We start from the raw sequence: 17,276 nt of genomic DNA on the forward strand, positions 1-17,276 counted from the left end.
CCTGGTCCTGTGTAGTCACTAAGCATCTGATGCCTGATCCAGAAGAACAGAGTGACCACCAGCCCAGACTCGGTCACCAAAAGGACTTTCCTAGACTTGGTCACCAGCTTCAACTTTCCCAGCTTCCTACTAAATAGCCTTGGGCAAGCCCCACGAACCCCTTGTGCTTATTTTCTTCATATGTAAGGGGTGACAGCAGACCCACCTCACATGGATATTGTGAGGATTAAAGGGATAATGTATGGAAAATATTTAACCCAGTACTGGGCACACATTAAAAGCTAGATAAATAACAGCCACGACTCCTGACACTATTCATACAAGTTTCAAGTTTGATGGCCGAGATCTGGAGTTTGGAAACTTGCAAGCCTAATTTACAAGGCTACGACCCCCGCCTGTGTTGGGTTCTGCATGCAGCAGCTACTTCAACCTTCCAGACTTGATGCCATCTTCACTTTAATAGATCAGCTTTCCCTTTCTGGTCTTGACAAGTCCTTACTTTACCTAATGGGAGGCCACAAGGAGCAATTCTTTGAAAGGAAAGGGGGAGACATCCTTAGAAAGGCATCTAAAAAGCTGCCATTTCGGTGCCGAGAGAAGGCCATAGGCACTCTCTCAATGACACATGCACAAAAGCTCTTGTTGTGGACACAAATAAGAAAAGTTGAACCCCTCGCCCGGTGTAATTCACTTCATTTATTGACCCGAGTTCTCTCCCTGCAACCCTTGATTCCTTTGAATTTGTCAGCAGTTCAGAGACCCCTGGCATTCAACATGATTTGTAATGTAAATTATATAATTGTACTTTCACATATTTTAACATCAAATGAAATGATTGACTACAGAATCGGAGCTGTCTACAGGTGGGGGCCAATTACCATCTGAATAATCACAGTGCCACACAAGAATAGCATAGCCGCTGAGCGTGACATATTTTTATCTCTATGCATTTCAATGAAGTCAGGCTAGTACATAAAAGGTTATCACCTAGGAAACATATTTTCCTAAGCACAAGTTAAACATGCAAGTGAGATCAGCAAAGATATTCAATTTAGCCAGTCAACCCTAACCTATTAATATTTTAACAAAATCCAGGGAGGATAATTTTTTTCTTTGATCCCATTTCATGTGAGCAGCCGGGAAAGGGAAGAAAAATTAAAAACAAAATAGTCAAGCATACAGAATGAGGTTATGTATTAAGTGGGCTATTTAATGTTTCTGGCATTTCATAGCCCAGGGGAAAGTGTGGATGGATTTAACAATCAAGAGCTGTGTTCCCTTGGCCACAAAGTTCGAGAAACATAAAATAATCTATACTTCCAAGCTGACAAATCGTACCTGACACCCAGCTTCATCTCACCGGGACTCCTGAGATCAGCATTAATCATATGTTACAGGGAGTAAAAAGAAAAGTAAATCACACCACGCTGAAAAGTGAGATGGAAGGTCTTCGGGCAAGGATTTTAATCAATAATATGTGGGATGATAACCAGAAGCTATTGTTTTAATCTTCCAATATGAAAAGAAATAAATGCAAAACACGAAGCTACCAGGGGCCAAGCGGCTTCCATGATGCCTTGTAAGAACCAAAAACAGTTTGGCAGCTCAACTTTCTAGTTTGATTCATGACAACAAACTAACAAACGATTTCTTTTTAAAGAGACAGAGTCAAGTGCATTCTTCAGGTTTCCTGTTTCTGGAGCCTTAGCTATTGCTCAGGTCTCAGGACATGGGTTCTGGATTGCTTGGTTTTCCTTGTGCAGGTTTTTTCATGTTTTGCATGTCTGACATCTATTCATGCTTCTTCTCCTAACATCACCTCCTTTCTCCAGCCCCACCATCAGTTCTTGTGGTTTGGGCTGTGTTTTTACTAATGGTTCCAGAGAAAAACTGGTATAACAGTGATTAGATCAGGGATGGATATGTGCTGTATTTGAGCCCTGAAATGCAGGCGTGGGAGTTCATGGTAGTACTGTCATAAAAGAGGCTGTTGTGGTTTGAGGCTGTGTCCCCACAAAATTCACATGTTGAAGTCCTGACCCCCACTGCTCCATAATGTGACTTTATTTAGAAACAGGGTCATTGCTCATGAGATTAGTTAAGATGAAGTCACACTGGAGTAGGGTGGAACCCTAGTCCAATATGACTGGTGTCCTTATTAAAAGGGGAAATTTGGACAAAAACAGACATGCACACAGAGAGAATGCCATATGAAGATGAAGGCAGAGATTGAGGTGATACTGCTACAAGCTAAGGAATACCAGAGACTTCCAGGAATACCAGAGACTTCCAATAAATCACCGGTAGCCAGGGAAGACCGAAACAGCTCCCTCCTCACAGCCCTCAGAAGAAACCAACCCTGCTGATAACCTTGATCTCAGACTTCCAGCCTCCAGAACTGTAAGACGATCAGTTTCTGTTGATTAGGCCTCTCAGGGTGCGGTACCTTGTTACAACAGCACTAGCAAAGTAATACAAAGGCTCATTCTCTCTTATTATCATGTACTTAGAACCTTGATGATTTAAGCTTGACATGGCTAAGATTTATCTTGCCTGTGAATGGTGCCAACACGTGAGAAAGTTGACCAAATACCTAAGTAGATGCCTACCTCATGCAGATGTTGCTCATACCTCTGGATCCAGCCATACCTGAAGTTTTATCTCTGACTTTGCAGTTATGTGATCTATTAAATTTCCACTTTTACTTAAACTGGTTAGAATTGAGTGTTCATCACTTACAACCAAAGGAACCCTAAATGATTTATTCTCAAAGCAGCCAATGTGATCTTAGGATGAATAATAGACATGAAGACTTTGGAACAAAGAACATGATTGTATTAATCAAACCACAGGAATGTTGGATCCAGTTTGAGGCAACATATGTTTAAGAAGGACATGGATAGATCTGAACAGAGTGATTAGATGGTGAGAGAAATGGACATCAAATCACAGGAGGTATGAGAGAAGAAAAGGGGTGTGTAGAAAGCATAGATGGCCTCAAATATCTACAGGAATGACAATTTGAGGAAGGATTGGGAATTATTTGTGTGACCCCCCACCCAAGGATAAAACTAGGAAACAATGGGAACACATATTTAAAGCAGAGTGATTATCTAATGCTCCCAGCAATTAGAAGAAGAATGAAAAGCCCCTGAAAGCAGCAAGTCCTTGGATTTGGGAGGTGCTTCTACAGTAGAAGGGACTCTATGATTGACTGGATGACTTTAAGGCCCCTTCCAGCTTGTATGTTTAGTTTTATAATTCTTTTACTAAAACCCAACATTCTTCTGGCTGAAACACACTATGATTCTATGATTCCAATTCAGTTCTTTCCACCTCAACTTCTTTCCAGACTGTTGAGAATTCTTGCACTTGCTCGAACACACAATGTCATATCACTAATCTTAGATTTATGGAATGGCTAACACTGTAGGTGTGGGACTCTTGGTGGCATGAGTCATGTGAAGAGCGATCAAATTTTATTTTTTCCCCTAGCTTTAATTAAATGACCTATTCCACAGTGGAGAGTTGAAGGATGATATTAAACCTATGTAATAATCAATCTGGCTATAGATTTTTTAAATAGATGGCTCACGTTAGACACACATTATACTTTATTTTCCTGAACTACGTGAGGTATGCAAAGACACACACTATGCTTGAAATCAAGTGTCCAGTTAAGGCACAAACTGGCTAAAAGCTTAAAATCGCATCATAAACCCTCTCAGTCTTTCCTTGAAAGAACTTGAGGCTTTGCGACATTCAGATATGTTATAGCTCCAGGTATTCAGATATGTTATAGCTCCAGGTGACCATCTTAATTTCTACTGTTAGCATTTGTAGCAGCTTGTCAGATTTCCAGACACCCTTCTGCCAATTCAGCCCAGCAGCTGATGTTACAGAGAAGCCTGGGCAATGTAAGAGAAAACATTCTTCTAGTTTTGCCCAGCATGGATGTGGGCTGGGCCAACAGAGGAAAGAAATCTCTGTTTATAATCAGGGAAGGAATCGAGAGCCGATGATGGGAGAGTTTCCATCCTCTGTGCTGGAAGGAAGCCCTGATTGTGCTCAGCAAATAAGGTCCCAGCCATTTCAAAGAGGCTGCACGTGGCTCTCCACGATTTTAGCATCTGCTATTTGCCTTGGCCTAATTTCTTCCTTGATGCTAAATTATTCTCCAAGTCAACTATCTTTTTTTAAAAAAATGTAATTTTTAAAACTAGTCCCCAACACAAACAGGAAAGCAGTCTGTTAAGAACATCTATAAATTGATATTATTTTAAGGGCTTTGCCTACTACAGTAAGTAAATCCATTTCTCAGGCTGGAAGAGTTCTTGGAGACTGGGGAAGTTACAACATTGTCCCTTCAAAAAAGAGTAACTCTTTACGAAAATGAGTCTCTTGATCTTACATCCTCAGGGTCTTTCACCTTAAAATAATCTTATAGCAGAGAATTCATCAGAGTAAAAAGCAAGAAGAAGCTGGGTGCAGTGACTCATGCCTATAATCCCAGCACTTTGGGAGGTTGAGGCGTGCAGATCTTTTCAGGTCAGGAGTTCGAGACCAGCCTGACCAACATGGTGAAACCCTGTCTCTACTAAAAGTACAAAAATTAGCCAGGTGCTGTGGCTCATGACTGTAATTCCAGCTACTTGGGAGGCTGAGGCAGGAGAATCAATTGAACTGGGAGGAGGAGATTGCAGTGAGCCAAGACAGCACCACTGCACTCCAGCCTGGGCAACAGAGTGAGACTCCATCTCAAAAGAAGAAAAAAAAAAAAAAGAAGAGACTAGAAGATAAACTCCCAAGATCCCTCAGGTCTGTGTGGAGGGTCTTAGGTTTGCAAAGCACACGGGCACCCAAGATCACTGGAGTCTCCCCCCACTCTTGTGAGAAAAGTAAGCCTGGAATTATAATTTTCAGTTTCCAGGTGGGAAAACTATGCTTCTTAGAAGGTGAGTGTATCAGAGCTCTCCCAAGACCACAGAGCCAGTAATGCACCGTCAGGGCTGGAAGCCAGATTTTCCCGACTCCATTTCCACTAGGATCTGCTGCCTCTGAATGCCATTAAGAGCAATATGCACATTTGACCATTGAACAACACAGGTTTGAACTGTGCAGCTCCATGACTATGCGGATTTTCTTCTACCTGTGCCACCCCCGAGACAGCAAGAACAACCCCTCCTCTTCCTCCTCTTCCTCCTCCTCAGCCTACTCAGTGTGAAGAAGATGAGAATGAAGATCTTTATGATGATCCACTTTCACTTAATGAATAATAAATATATTTCTCTTCCTTATGATTCTTAATAACATTTTCTTTTCTGTACGTTGCTTTATTTTAAAAATACAACGTATAATACATATACGTGCAAAATATGTGTTAACTGGCATTGACGTTATCTGTAAGCATTCCAGTCAGCAGTAGGCTATTACTAGTTGAGTTTTTGGGGAGTCAAAAGTTATACACTGATCTTCAACTGCATGGGTGGTCAGTGCCCCTAATTCCTGCATTGTTCAAGGAACAAATGTAATATAAAAATAAGTATTTCCTGATTTAGACACCTCTTTGCCAATTCCTTAGAACAGTGGTTCTCAAAGTATGGTCCCTGGACCAGCAACATCAGTATCATCTGGGAACTCATGAGAAATGGAAATTCTGGGCCCTATCCTAGACCTCTTGAATCAAAATCAGGAGGCAGGGCCGGAAACCTGGATTTTAAAGTCTTCCAGGTGATTCTGATGTATGCTCAAATTTCAGAACCACTGCCTTAGGAGGTGGTGGTATTTTGTGAGTTTGCATGAAAGGCTATTGGCAAATATAGACACCAAAAATACAAACTCATCACCTCTGAATTCCATTTAGTGAAGGCCAGAGTCCAAAGCTCTAAAATGCTTATTACTATTCAAAGCTGCCTTGGTTGGCTCTGAGAACAGACTACACTCACTCACACTCACATACAGGCCTGGCAGCAAATTCTCTGCTGTTCACTCACCATTGATGCAGAATTGAGCCGGGCTCAGTTGTGCAGTTGATTATAGTCTGGTACGGGGTGACCAGTTACTCTAATCCTGTACTCTTTGGAAAACAAAGAGCCAAAGTATCCGGATATCTGGAGTATGCAGAGGAGGCCCGCGGGGCTCCAGTTTCATCTGTATATTGCTGGGCAGACTAAGAGTGTGGCTATATGTTCCTTCCACTACCCACACTTGCTCCCTTTCGGATTTAAGCATTCTGCTCAGGGACATATTAATATGCAAAAAAAATCAAACATCACCAGAAAGATGGAAAGTACAAAGAGTCAGTGATTATTAAAGTTGGGAGAGCAAGAACCAGTTATTTTTTCCAACCTTCTAATGGACTCTGAGGCCCACCCAAAAGCAGTCGATGGCTGCCATAGAAAGAATTCAGCCTCCCAAGCTCTCTTGGCTTTCCCATGATGCAATGGTTCAGCACAGAAAATCTGTCTACAAGGACTATTGCCACTGATGTTGTTGGAAAAAGAAACAGACAAAAGGAAGAAAAATCATAGTGTCTTCAAAAGCCAGGGGAGTTTAGGACAAGGTTGAAAATTACATGCAATGATAGAAAGCAATGATCTTTGCCAATGGGTAGTTCTCAGGCTGAGCTTGGCCTACAGGAGGGTTTTGTTTAATCCACACTTGGCCCAGTTCAACAGTTTTGTTTTTAAAGGTGAATTTGTTGCCACTGAACAAAAATCAGAAAATCTCATACAAAAATACTGGATCACTCTGTCCCAAAACATACCGGACAATCCGGCCATACTGGGGCCACATCCTCATGGGGCAGCCATGTCACCATCCCCATTCCAGACAGCTGCTCTCATTTGATACCCACCTAACCTCAGCAAGCATTTGACTTTTCAAGTCCTAATTAAAGCAAATCCTAAGTTTATACCATTTAGTATCTAGAACCTAAATTATTTCAGTTCTAGTCTAACACAGAACTGTGGTCTCCTGGGCAGTTGCTTTCCAATGATAGGAAACGGGAATCTTTAGAAGACAAGTCACATAGAAATCTAAAATCGATGACCCAGTAAGTGTTCACATTCTCTGCCAATAAAATCAAATGGAAAATGTAATAATCTATAAAATTACAGTTGTTAAGAAAAGCTAACCAAATTACTTAACTTTTTTATATTCGTGTATGTGTTTATTGTCTGCCCCCTCTAAGGGACCATAAGCCCTATGGGTACCTTGTTCTGGTCATTGTCATATGCCCAATGCCTAAAACAATGCCTGTAGGCACTTGTCAGATATTTGTAGGGTGAGTAAACAGTCATATATATGGAAACTTTACTTATGCTAGGCATGGTTCTAAGCACTTTATGAGTATTAAGATCTCAGAGCGTTCCAATGAGAAAAAGACTCTAGCAGATGTGGAAATCAAGACAAAGGGGGCAGTTAGCGAATGTCCTCATGTTGCCCCACTGGCCAGTGACATGGCAGGGATGAAGAGAAAAGAGCTGGCCCACTCTTCCTCCTCCCTAACTGTAGCTACATTGCTTGGGCTGAAACTAGTAAACCAAAGACCCAGAAGCCACTCTGGGTCTTTGAATCTCTTTCTGACGCAAAGTAGGTGCTCACCAAGAGATGTCTGAATTTGCTAGTTAAAATCATTATTTATCTGAGAATAAAAATAGGCTGTTAAAGAAGCCCTGTAATCTAATGAAAAAGCAAGGAGTTATAAAGTTACAGACCCTCTCAGGGTTCTATTTTTTTTTTCTTTTTCCTTAAGTAAATCACTTAGCTTTTATAGCTTCCTGTTTTCCCGTCTATCAAAATTGGGCAACTACTTTTTTCTACATCCTTTTCAGGAGGACATTCAAAGGGCAAAATGTGCTAGAGGAAAATGTAAGAGGTAAATATTTATAATGACAAAACTAATTTTACAAGTTTAAGACATTGCTTTCAATTCATTATTCTCGTTTTCATCAAAGACCCCTGTTAGGACAGGGATTGTTAACTCCATCAAAATGAGGAAAGCAAGGCCAGGAAACATTGGATCACCAGCCAAAGATCACAGAGTTGACAAGTAGTAGAACTGAGGCCAGAACCAACCAATTTTTACACTGGGCCAAGTGTAATCGTGTAACGAGAACTGTGGAAAGTGGGCTGTCACTGAAGATGTGCTCTGGGAAGTAACGGGGCCGGGGTATAGACACGCATGCAGTGAACATAGAACCAGGCAGTTTGCTCCCCAGTAAAGATGAGAGAGCAAGTTTCCCAGAGCTATGGAAAGCCATGCAAGGGATGAGAGAGACAGGTGGGGAGGATCCAAGGTAAAGGGCATGAGCAAAGTGGTTTAAGGAATATTCCAGAAGAGGTTTGAGAGTGCTGTCTGTGCTGGAGTCGAGATACTGGCAGAGATAGGAAGGGAAAGAGGGTGTTGGGAGCTTGTGGTTTTCTTAGTGGAAAGAACTTGGGCATTGGAGGTAGAGAGTCCTGGGTTCAAATCCTGAAGTGGCCTCTTTCTGTTTCTGAATCTCTATTTCTTCCTTGGTTTGGTTGATTTGAGATTGGAAAGAGGTAATGTCTGAGAGCTCCCAGCCCAGAGCCTCGCACATAGAGTCTGGCCCTCACCCGTTAACAGCTCCTGCTCTGATTCTACCGAGGACGGGTTGGACAGGGAGAGAGGAGAGGCAGGCAAAGGAGAGGAGAAGCTCAGAGATGCCCTACTGCGAATTCATTAGCACTGTGAGATGGAGCGCCATCTCCCCCTCAAGGTTTTGCTGAGGTACAGAAGCATCTCAATCAGCCCTACAGGGACTTTCAGGCTCCGGTGTTGATCTGCGTGTGAGTGTTTTATACAAAGAACTCTGTCTTGCAGCCAGGCCTGTAACTGGGGAAATGCTGCAATGATCTCCCTCACAGGGCTGATGCCTTCCACCTCCCCAATCACCTTTCAACTGTGTCTTTGAGGCCTCTCTTTCCCGATTGTTCAGAAGCATCTTGTGTGTCTAGATAATCGCCTTCCCGGGATCTGCTGACCGGCAGCATGCAGCCTTGCCAACCGGGCCATAATCAGGCTTTTGACATACAAAGGTCAGCTTTATTGTTGTTTTTATTTTTGTGAGTGATGTATAGTTTAAGAAACAGATTCATTCAAGGGGAAACAGGCAACTACTAACCATTAGACAGAGGGAAATAATTGCTTTTTAATACATTATTTATTGCCTGTTCAATTCTAACATCTTTCTTGTCTGGCTCATAACTTCAACACATTAGAAAGCTCCTATTTCCTCTCCGTTGTATAAGTGTAGACAGTAAAAGTGTATTGATACTAGTAGCAAAGACAGGCATTCTTTAAGAAATTTTTCTTCTGTTGTAGACATTTTCCTTACTATTCTGTTTCAAACATTTTCTTTTGTCTGTGTCAAGTCATTTCAGTGTGGTAGAAAATAACCTCTTCCTGGGCTCAAACACAGCTCTTAATAAACAGCATTCCTTTCTAGTATGTTCTAGGATGTGTGTTTGATAACGGGCCTGGGTGTCTACCCATTGAGGGGAGGTGACTTTGTTGGGGTAGAATTGAGATCTGAATGTGCATGTCATTGGCTTTACTGAACTACCCCTTTGGGACTGAAAACCTTGCAAGGGCAGGCTGAGGCGAGGATGGCTGCTCAGGTCTTGTGTCCCCGTGGCAATGCGTATCCTCGCTCTGCCATTTTCAAAGTGCTCAAGACTGGCCTCAGGCCAGGCATCACATGCTTATGCAAGACCAGAGCTTTTTCTACTCACCATGGCGGCAGGTGTGGAGACATCACTTTGCCCCCCTGGCCACGGTCACCATTGGCAGAGTCATCCGTTCCAACCCATACCAATCTGAAAAAGACCCCTTGTGCCTGTGCAAAAGTGCCTGTAATATTTGTATGTTTCCCAGGCAAAGGATCCTTAAAGCTGAAAGGAAAAGTAAAACTCAGCAGCTATAAACTGTACCAGGAGCAAACTCTGACTCCAGATTTTTGTGACTCACAGAGTGTTTTGTTTATAAGTGTTGTTACCAACACTTAAGCATCAGAAGAGTTGTATTAAAATATGAATTTCTCTTTCTCCGGAGAAGTCAGCTCTGGCCACCTTGGCCCCTTGCTCCGTGGTCACAGTTAAGTGGGGTTGAGTGACAGCTGTCCCGCTGAGTGAACTTGAGCACTCCAACTCACCAAAGTCCCCATGGCTCCCTGTGGCTCTATACTCAGGGCATTCCCTGAATATAAAGTATAAAGTCCCTTATGTTACCTATCTGATTCCATAGGCATTTAGAACATTTAAGAAAATCTATTTAATTTTTGGCTGTGAAACTGATGTGTGCAAAAAGAACTACAAATAGTATAAAAGAAATAAATAGTGAAAAAGAAGGTGCCCTCTCACCCTGACCTGCAGTCTCTCAGGACAATCACAGTTCTGTTTCCTGTGTCTCTTTCTAGATATACAGTACGCATATGTATGCATATTACATCATCACCTTTTTAAAGTACAAGAATGCACACAATATTTTGCGTTTGACATAATATATTTTAGGCATCATATCTTATCCATACATAGAGATCTGTCTTATTCTTTCCAAAGGCTGCATAGTATTCCTTTGTGTGGATGCACCATAATTTATATAACCAATTTTCTACTGATGGACATTTAGGTTGTTTCTAATACTTTGCAATCACAAACAGTGCTAATATGAATTCCTTGTGCCTGCTTATCTGTACAATTGTGTGGATGCATCTGGAAGAAAAATTCTTAGAGGTGGAACTGCTGGATCAATGTCATTTAAATTGTGATACATATTGTCAAATGACCCCACAAGTGCTCATGCTAATAGATAGTTCTATTCACAATGAATAAAAATGTCCCCTAGATCTAGGACCTGATATGATCCAATCCACTGGACAAGTGAGGAAACTGAGGTCCAGAGAGAGGAAGTGAAATGGCATGTAAATAGCACAGCACAGACTTGAGTTGATGCAGGACTCAAGATGCCATTCGCCACCTCCCTTCCACCATGCCCCAGCTGTTCAGTTCTCCAGCCTCCTTTTGTAGGAAACTAAACCAAGGGGCCCTGGGATTAGCTCTGGGGTTCGGCAACTGGACCCAGGCCAGCTTTGGGGGAGCAGATGTTCTGCTAACAAACACTTCCATAATGACTGGCACATGCTGTCACCTTGGTGGGCTGGCTCAGCGGTGAAGGCCAAAGATTAAATGGACCATGGAAGCTGAATTACCAACCCAGCCCTTGGTGGTTTTTAAATTATAGATTTTTAAACAAAGCTAAATATAGAGCAATTAAGAAATGGCTCCACATTCTACCCCTAAGAAAAAAACAGCTGAACTGGAGCTAAACACAGCACATGCATATGCATGTGAAATAGGCGAGGAACAGAGGGAGCTGGTTAGAGTAAAATCCAAACTCCTTCCAGCAGTTCTTCCAGCATAGCCCCCATACTCCTGCCTCAGGGTCTTGGTACATGCTGTTCCCACTGCCTGATGCACCTCCTCTGTTTTATTCTTCTCATAGCTGGCTCTTTCTCTTCCTTTAGAATAGAAACATTCTTAGATTTTTCCCATTCGTCCAATTCCTATCTCAGTCTCGTTTTCTTCTTCCTTGTATCCTATATGACAACTGGCCATTTTCTCATTGATTTACTTTTTTTTTTAATCTGATTCCCCCACTAGAGCCAAAATCTCCATTTGCTCTTCTGCACCATTAAGACGATATTTCCATTCTGCCTGTTGCTGTGAGGACAAATAAGATAATCTGAGTCAACCCACCCTCAATGATCACCTCTCCTTTGAACTCAGTAGCATTTCTAGTCTGTGGCATGAAATTTAAAGCTTTGTTGTATAGTACAGGGGTTCTGCAAGTATAGCACATAGACCACAGTGAGTAAAAATGATGCTGTTATAGGTGGGACATGGAGAAACTTTTAAAATATCTTTTCATCGCAGCTACTCCCTAGTACCACCCGGGTCTAAAGCATCATAATTTCTGTGATTACTGCATCACTTCTGTTTCCTCATTGGCCTTCCTTCCTTCCATCCTACAGTGTATTCTGGTCTCAGGAGCCAGAGGGGTTCTGTTAAATAAGTCTTGTCATGCCACTCCTCTGCTCAGGAATCTTCCATGATTCCCATGTCCCTCAGAGAAAAATCCCAGGTCTTTACAATGATCTATAGGACCCTGTACAGTTGGGTCCTACCCCACCCTTACTTCTTGGCCCTCATCTATGACCTTCCTCATATTTGCTCACCTCTAAGCCCATGGATGTCTTCAAACATAGCAGGCACATCTTTACTACAATGCCAGTGCCCCTTCTGTCCCTCTGCCTGGAATCCTTTTTTTGTTTTTTTTTTAATTTGCTTGTTTTTTGTTTTAGAGACAGGGTCTCCTTCTGTTGCCCAGGCTGGAGTGCATTGGTACACTCATAACTCACTGCAGCCTTGACCTCATGGGCTCAAGTGATCCTCCAGGCTCAGCCTCTTGGGCAGCTAGGACTACAGGCATGTGCTACCATGCCTGGCTATTTTTTTTAATTTTTCTTTTTTTTTTTTTTGTGGAGATGAGGTCCCAGTATGTTCACCAGGCTGGTCTTGAACTTCTTACCTCAAGCGATCCTCCCACCTTGGCCTCTTGGCCTCCCTATGTGCTGGAATTACAGTTGTGAGCCACTGTGCCCAGCCTGAACCTTTTACTCCCAGTTATCTGTATGACTTGAGTCCTCATCTCCTTCAATCTCCTTAACTGATCTTCACTCAACAGTCAACTTCTCATTGTGCCCTTCTCCAACTACCTTCTTTAAAATCGCTACCCACTCACACCACTTCCTGTCCCTTTTCTCTACTTCATTTTTCTCCAAAGCCCTTACCACTTTCAGTGTTCCGTATTTCTTCTTTACTTCTCTTCTGTATTGTCTCTCTTCCCTACTAGACCATAAGTTGCAGGAAGGCAGGGATTTTTCTGTTTTTTCATAGCTATATTTCTCGCATCCAGAACAGTGCCTTAGTAGGATCTCAATAATTATTGTCAAATGAAAAAATGAATTTGGATGATTGAGAGTATATTAGGATTCTCCAGAGAAACAGAACCACATGGATATATATAGATATACAAAAAGATTTATTTTGAGGGATTGGTGAACACAACTACAAAAGCTGAGAAGTCCCATCATCTACTTTCTGAAAGATGAAAGCTAATGGTGTAGTTCCAGCTCAAAACCAAAGTCCCGAGACCCAGGAGAGCCAGTAGTGTAAGTCCCAGTCCAAGTCTGAAGGACTGAGAACCAGGAGTGCCAAAGTCCAGGAGCAGGAGAAGATGGATGTTCCAGCTCAAGCAGAGAGCAAATCCACCCTTCCTCTGCCTTTTTGTTCTATTTGGGCCCTCAACAGATTGAATGATTCCCACGCACACTGGTGAGGACAGCTCTACCTTACACAGTCTGTAATTCAAATGCTAATCCCTTCTGGAAACACCCTCACAGGCACTCCCAGGAATAATATTTTACCAGCTATCTGGTCATTCCTTAGCCCAGTCAAGTTGACACATGAAATTAATCATCACAAAGAGTAAGCAACAGAAACTGACTCTGCAGAGAGTAAACAGAAGCTGTTAGTTACCTGGAAAGTTGCTGGGGTTTAGAGCCTCAACCAGAGCCAGAAAGAGCAGACTGGGAACCAGCAGGTACCCAGCAGTTCCAGGAGAGCTGCACTGCAAAACCCTCCCAGAGCTTCCTGGCACAGCTGATGGAAGAACTTGACTCCATCACTACCTGTAGTGATGGTGTCAACTGATCTCCTTGTGTCCTAGAACCTCATGCTCAAGACTCAGAGTCTGGGAGATGTGCCTGACTGCCTAGGTCTGATTGTATTCAGCACTATCATGGCCCAGGTAGGGAGAGAAAAGGTGGATTTGGACTGTCCACACAATGGGACATTCCCCAAAAGAAAGATTCTGATGCTTTTAGGAAGGAAAGGATAGTGTACATAAAAAAATAAACAATGACTTTAAACATCGAACTTCTTTATGTTATTTTCTATTTATAACAAGTATAGTTGTTAAGAGTGTGGTCTCTGAAAGAGAGACAAAGACAAAAATATCAAAATGGGGAAATCCATTTCATCCTTCACAACAAAAAGATATGCAAATAGCCCTTAAACACATAAAAAGATGTTCAGTTGAACACATAGTAACATACACCCAAATTAGACCTAGACAGCAGCATAGCTCACCTATCACTTGAGCAAAAATTCAAAAGCTTATGGACATACTTTGTTAGAGATGCTACAGGGGCTCTCCTGGATTGCTGGAGGGAATGGAAGACAGCATGCCTCCCAGGAAGGGGATTTGGCAACATTTAACAAGACTGCTTATACCTCTACCCTTGGACACAGCCTTCCCATTTCTAGAAATCTACCCAGGAAATACATCTTTACAAATATAAATAACACATGCATGAGGTTCTTCACTATGACTTTTTTTTATAGTAAAATATTGAAAACAACCTAAATGCCTATCCACAGAGGACTGGTTGAATAAATCATTATATAACCATAGAGCAGAGTACTATACAACCACATCAGAGAATGAGAGAAATCTTGCATAACCAATATGGAGTGACTTCCAGAAACTATTTTTAAGTAACAAAGTAAAGTACAAACAAATGTATATCTGACCTTGAGGACATGATGCGAAGCAAAATAAGCTGGTCATAAAAAGTGAAATACTGTATGATTCCACTTACGTGAGGCATTATCTAAAGTGATCAAAGTCAGAGAAACAATAAGTAGTGTGCTGGTTTCCACGGGCTGGAAGAAGAGGGGAAATGTAAAGTTGATTTTTAAATGGGTATAGAGTTTTTGTTTTGCAAGATGAAAAAGTTCTAAAGATCTGTTGCACAACAATGTGAGTATACTTAACACTACTAAATTAAATACTTAAAACTGGTTATGATGCTAAGTTTTATAATATGTATTCTTTTTTTTTAACCACAATTAATAGTTTTAAGGCTGGGTGTGGTGGCTCATGCCTGTAATCCCAGCACTTTGGGAGGTTGAGGTGGGAGAATCGCTTGAGGCTAGGAGTTGGAAACCAGCCTGGTCAACATAATGAGACCCTGTCTCTACCAAAAAAATATTAAACATGTATATAATATGCTACCATTTGTGTAAGAAATAAGGGCAAGTAAGAGTATATATAGTATTTACTTATTTTTATAAAAAGAAACCCAGGAAAGATCAAACAAAAATGAATGAAAATAGTTTCCTGTAAGGGGTAGATAGGAAAAAGGAAAAGTGGAAAGGGATTGGAAGGAGACTTCACTGCTTGTTTCCTCTTAAATAGGGTTTAGATATTTGAATTTTGTAAATATTTTAAAAGAATAACAGTAAATTTAAAAGAATACAGAAAGTAAACCCTAACACCAAACACAAACAGAAAAGAATGAATTGAAGTGTATACCACAATTATAATATAACCATACACCCACACAACAAGTAATTCTAGCAACTTTTGAACACAATATTCTGACTATCCACTTACAGTGGGATACAGTCTAAGAACAAAAAGCATATAAAGAAATCCTGAACTTTACTGAGGATATTTTTTGTTAATAGGAGTATTGATGTAGTAACTCTGAAACTATTTTGCATATATTGTAGGATAGGGCAAATGAATAAATATATCAATTGTGATAGGACACAGTGTTCTCACTGTGGGGGGGGAATACATATATGAAATGGGGAAGAGTGAAGGATACTGTGGTTTTGGTGATTGAATTGCAGGTATCATATAAACTCAGGAACTGTAACTTTGAGCAGAAGTGACATGAGGTCAAAACTGGTTGCAATAATTCTCCCTAAATATGGCTCCCAGAAGGAGCATTCCAAGTGCTTTTGCTAATTGGCCTTCCAGAATAGTCCTTGATTCTCCCAGTGTGGCTTTTTCTATATTTTTGGAACCACTCCATGCCCCTCTGTGATGGTCAATTTTATGTGTCAACTTGGCTTGGCTGTAGTCCCTAGTTATTTAATTAAGCACTAATCTAGTTGTTACTGTGAAAGTATTTCATAGATGTGATTAAAGCTCCTAATCAGTTGACTTTAAGTAAGGGTGATGATCCTGAATAATCTGACTGGGCCTGATTTAATCAGGTGAAAGGCCAGAAGAAGAAATTCTACCTGTGGACAGCAGTTCAGCCCATGCCCAAGACTTCCAACTTGCCCTTCCAGAAAGCCTGTCCTACAGATTTAGGACTTGCCCAGCTAGCTCCACATTACATAAGCCAATTCCTTGCCATACACCTGTTAACATATATCTTCTGCTGGTTCTATTTATCTGACTGAACTCAAATTAATATACCCTCTAATAAACTTCTTTTGTTTCTCTCTTAATGTAGTTTCTGCTGCTTATTACGAAGTAACAGAACCTCACATATAGTACAATGTTAATAATGTTTCCATAACTCCTCCTGTAGAAGCTTCTCAGCATGGAGAAAGTCAGGCATAGGCTCTTCCCTCCATCAGATATGGGCTCCATGTTTACCAAAGCCTCCTTCTTCCTGATCTGGAGGCCCCATTAGGATTAGCAAGAGGCTGTATCGTCAGCCGGTTCTGGGGTTCCTGCCTCTGTGCCCTGCTAATCAGGCTCAGGATTTGTCAGCAGCCCTGAAATATTCATGAACAGCTGTTTCAATGATTATAACAGCTGCACAAATAGAGAGGAGGCCCACAGGGGAGTCAGGGAGGAAGGAGAGCTGGGGTTTTCATGTCATCTTCTCTTCTGTTCTCAATCCCATCAGACAAAGGAAGACTTTGGGAAATCCCAAAGAACTCCAGCCAGATAGTGCCAGGCTTCAGCACAGAAGCCACAAGAGCCCAAGAGCCAGAGCATCAGCTTCCCCTAGAGGGCTTGGTTAGTCTCTGTTAAAACACAGATTGCTGGGCCCCATCACAGAGAATATGATTTAGTAGGTCTGGGGTAGGGCCCAGGATTTTGCATTTTAGTAAGTTCCCAGGCAATGCTGATGCATCAGGTCTGGGAACCATATTGGTCTACAATATTAAGGCAACAACTCACAAAAAAGAGAAATATATAGACAGTCTGTGCCTTATTTGCCTGAAGAAAGCCCACTTGAGTCTTGTGCTTATGAGTTTCTTCTCTGAGCCTCAGGGTTTGCACAGAACTGCTGGAGATACCTGGTTACCCTGAGATGTGATCAGAGGTTCCCAAGTCATTAGGTTGAGAATGGTTTTGAGCAAGACTCACCTCAATG

The 17,276-nt window shown here is 41.7% G+C and overlaps 1 annotated feature.

The window, feature by feature from the left end:
- Positions 362–1,684: an enhancer, noted in NCBI's record as "VISTA enhancer hs23". NCBI's record gives its function as "enhancer in: neural tube[8/11] | hindbrain (rhombencephalon)[8/11]" and the evidence as "EXISTENCE:transgenic organism evidence [ECO:0001131][PMID:17130149]".

This window comes from Homo sapiens, chromosome 16, assembly GCF_000001405.40.
Source record: "Homo sapiens chromosome 16, GRCh38.p14 Primary Assembly".
Lineage (NCBI taxonomy): Eukaryota > Metazoa > Chordata > Mammalia > Primates > Hominidae > Homo > Homo sapiens.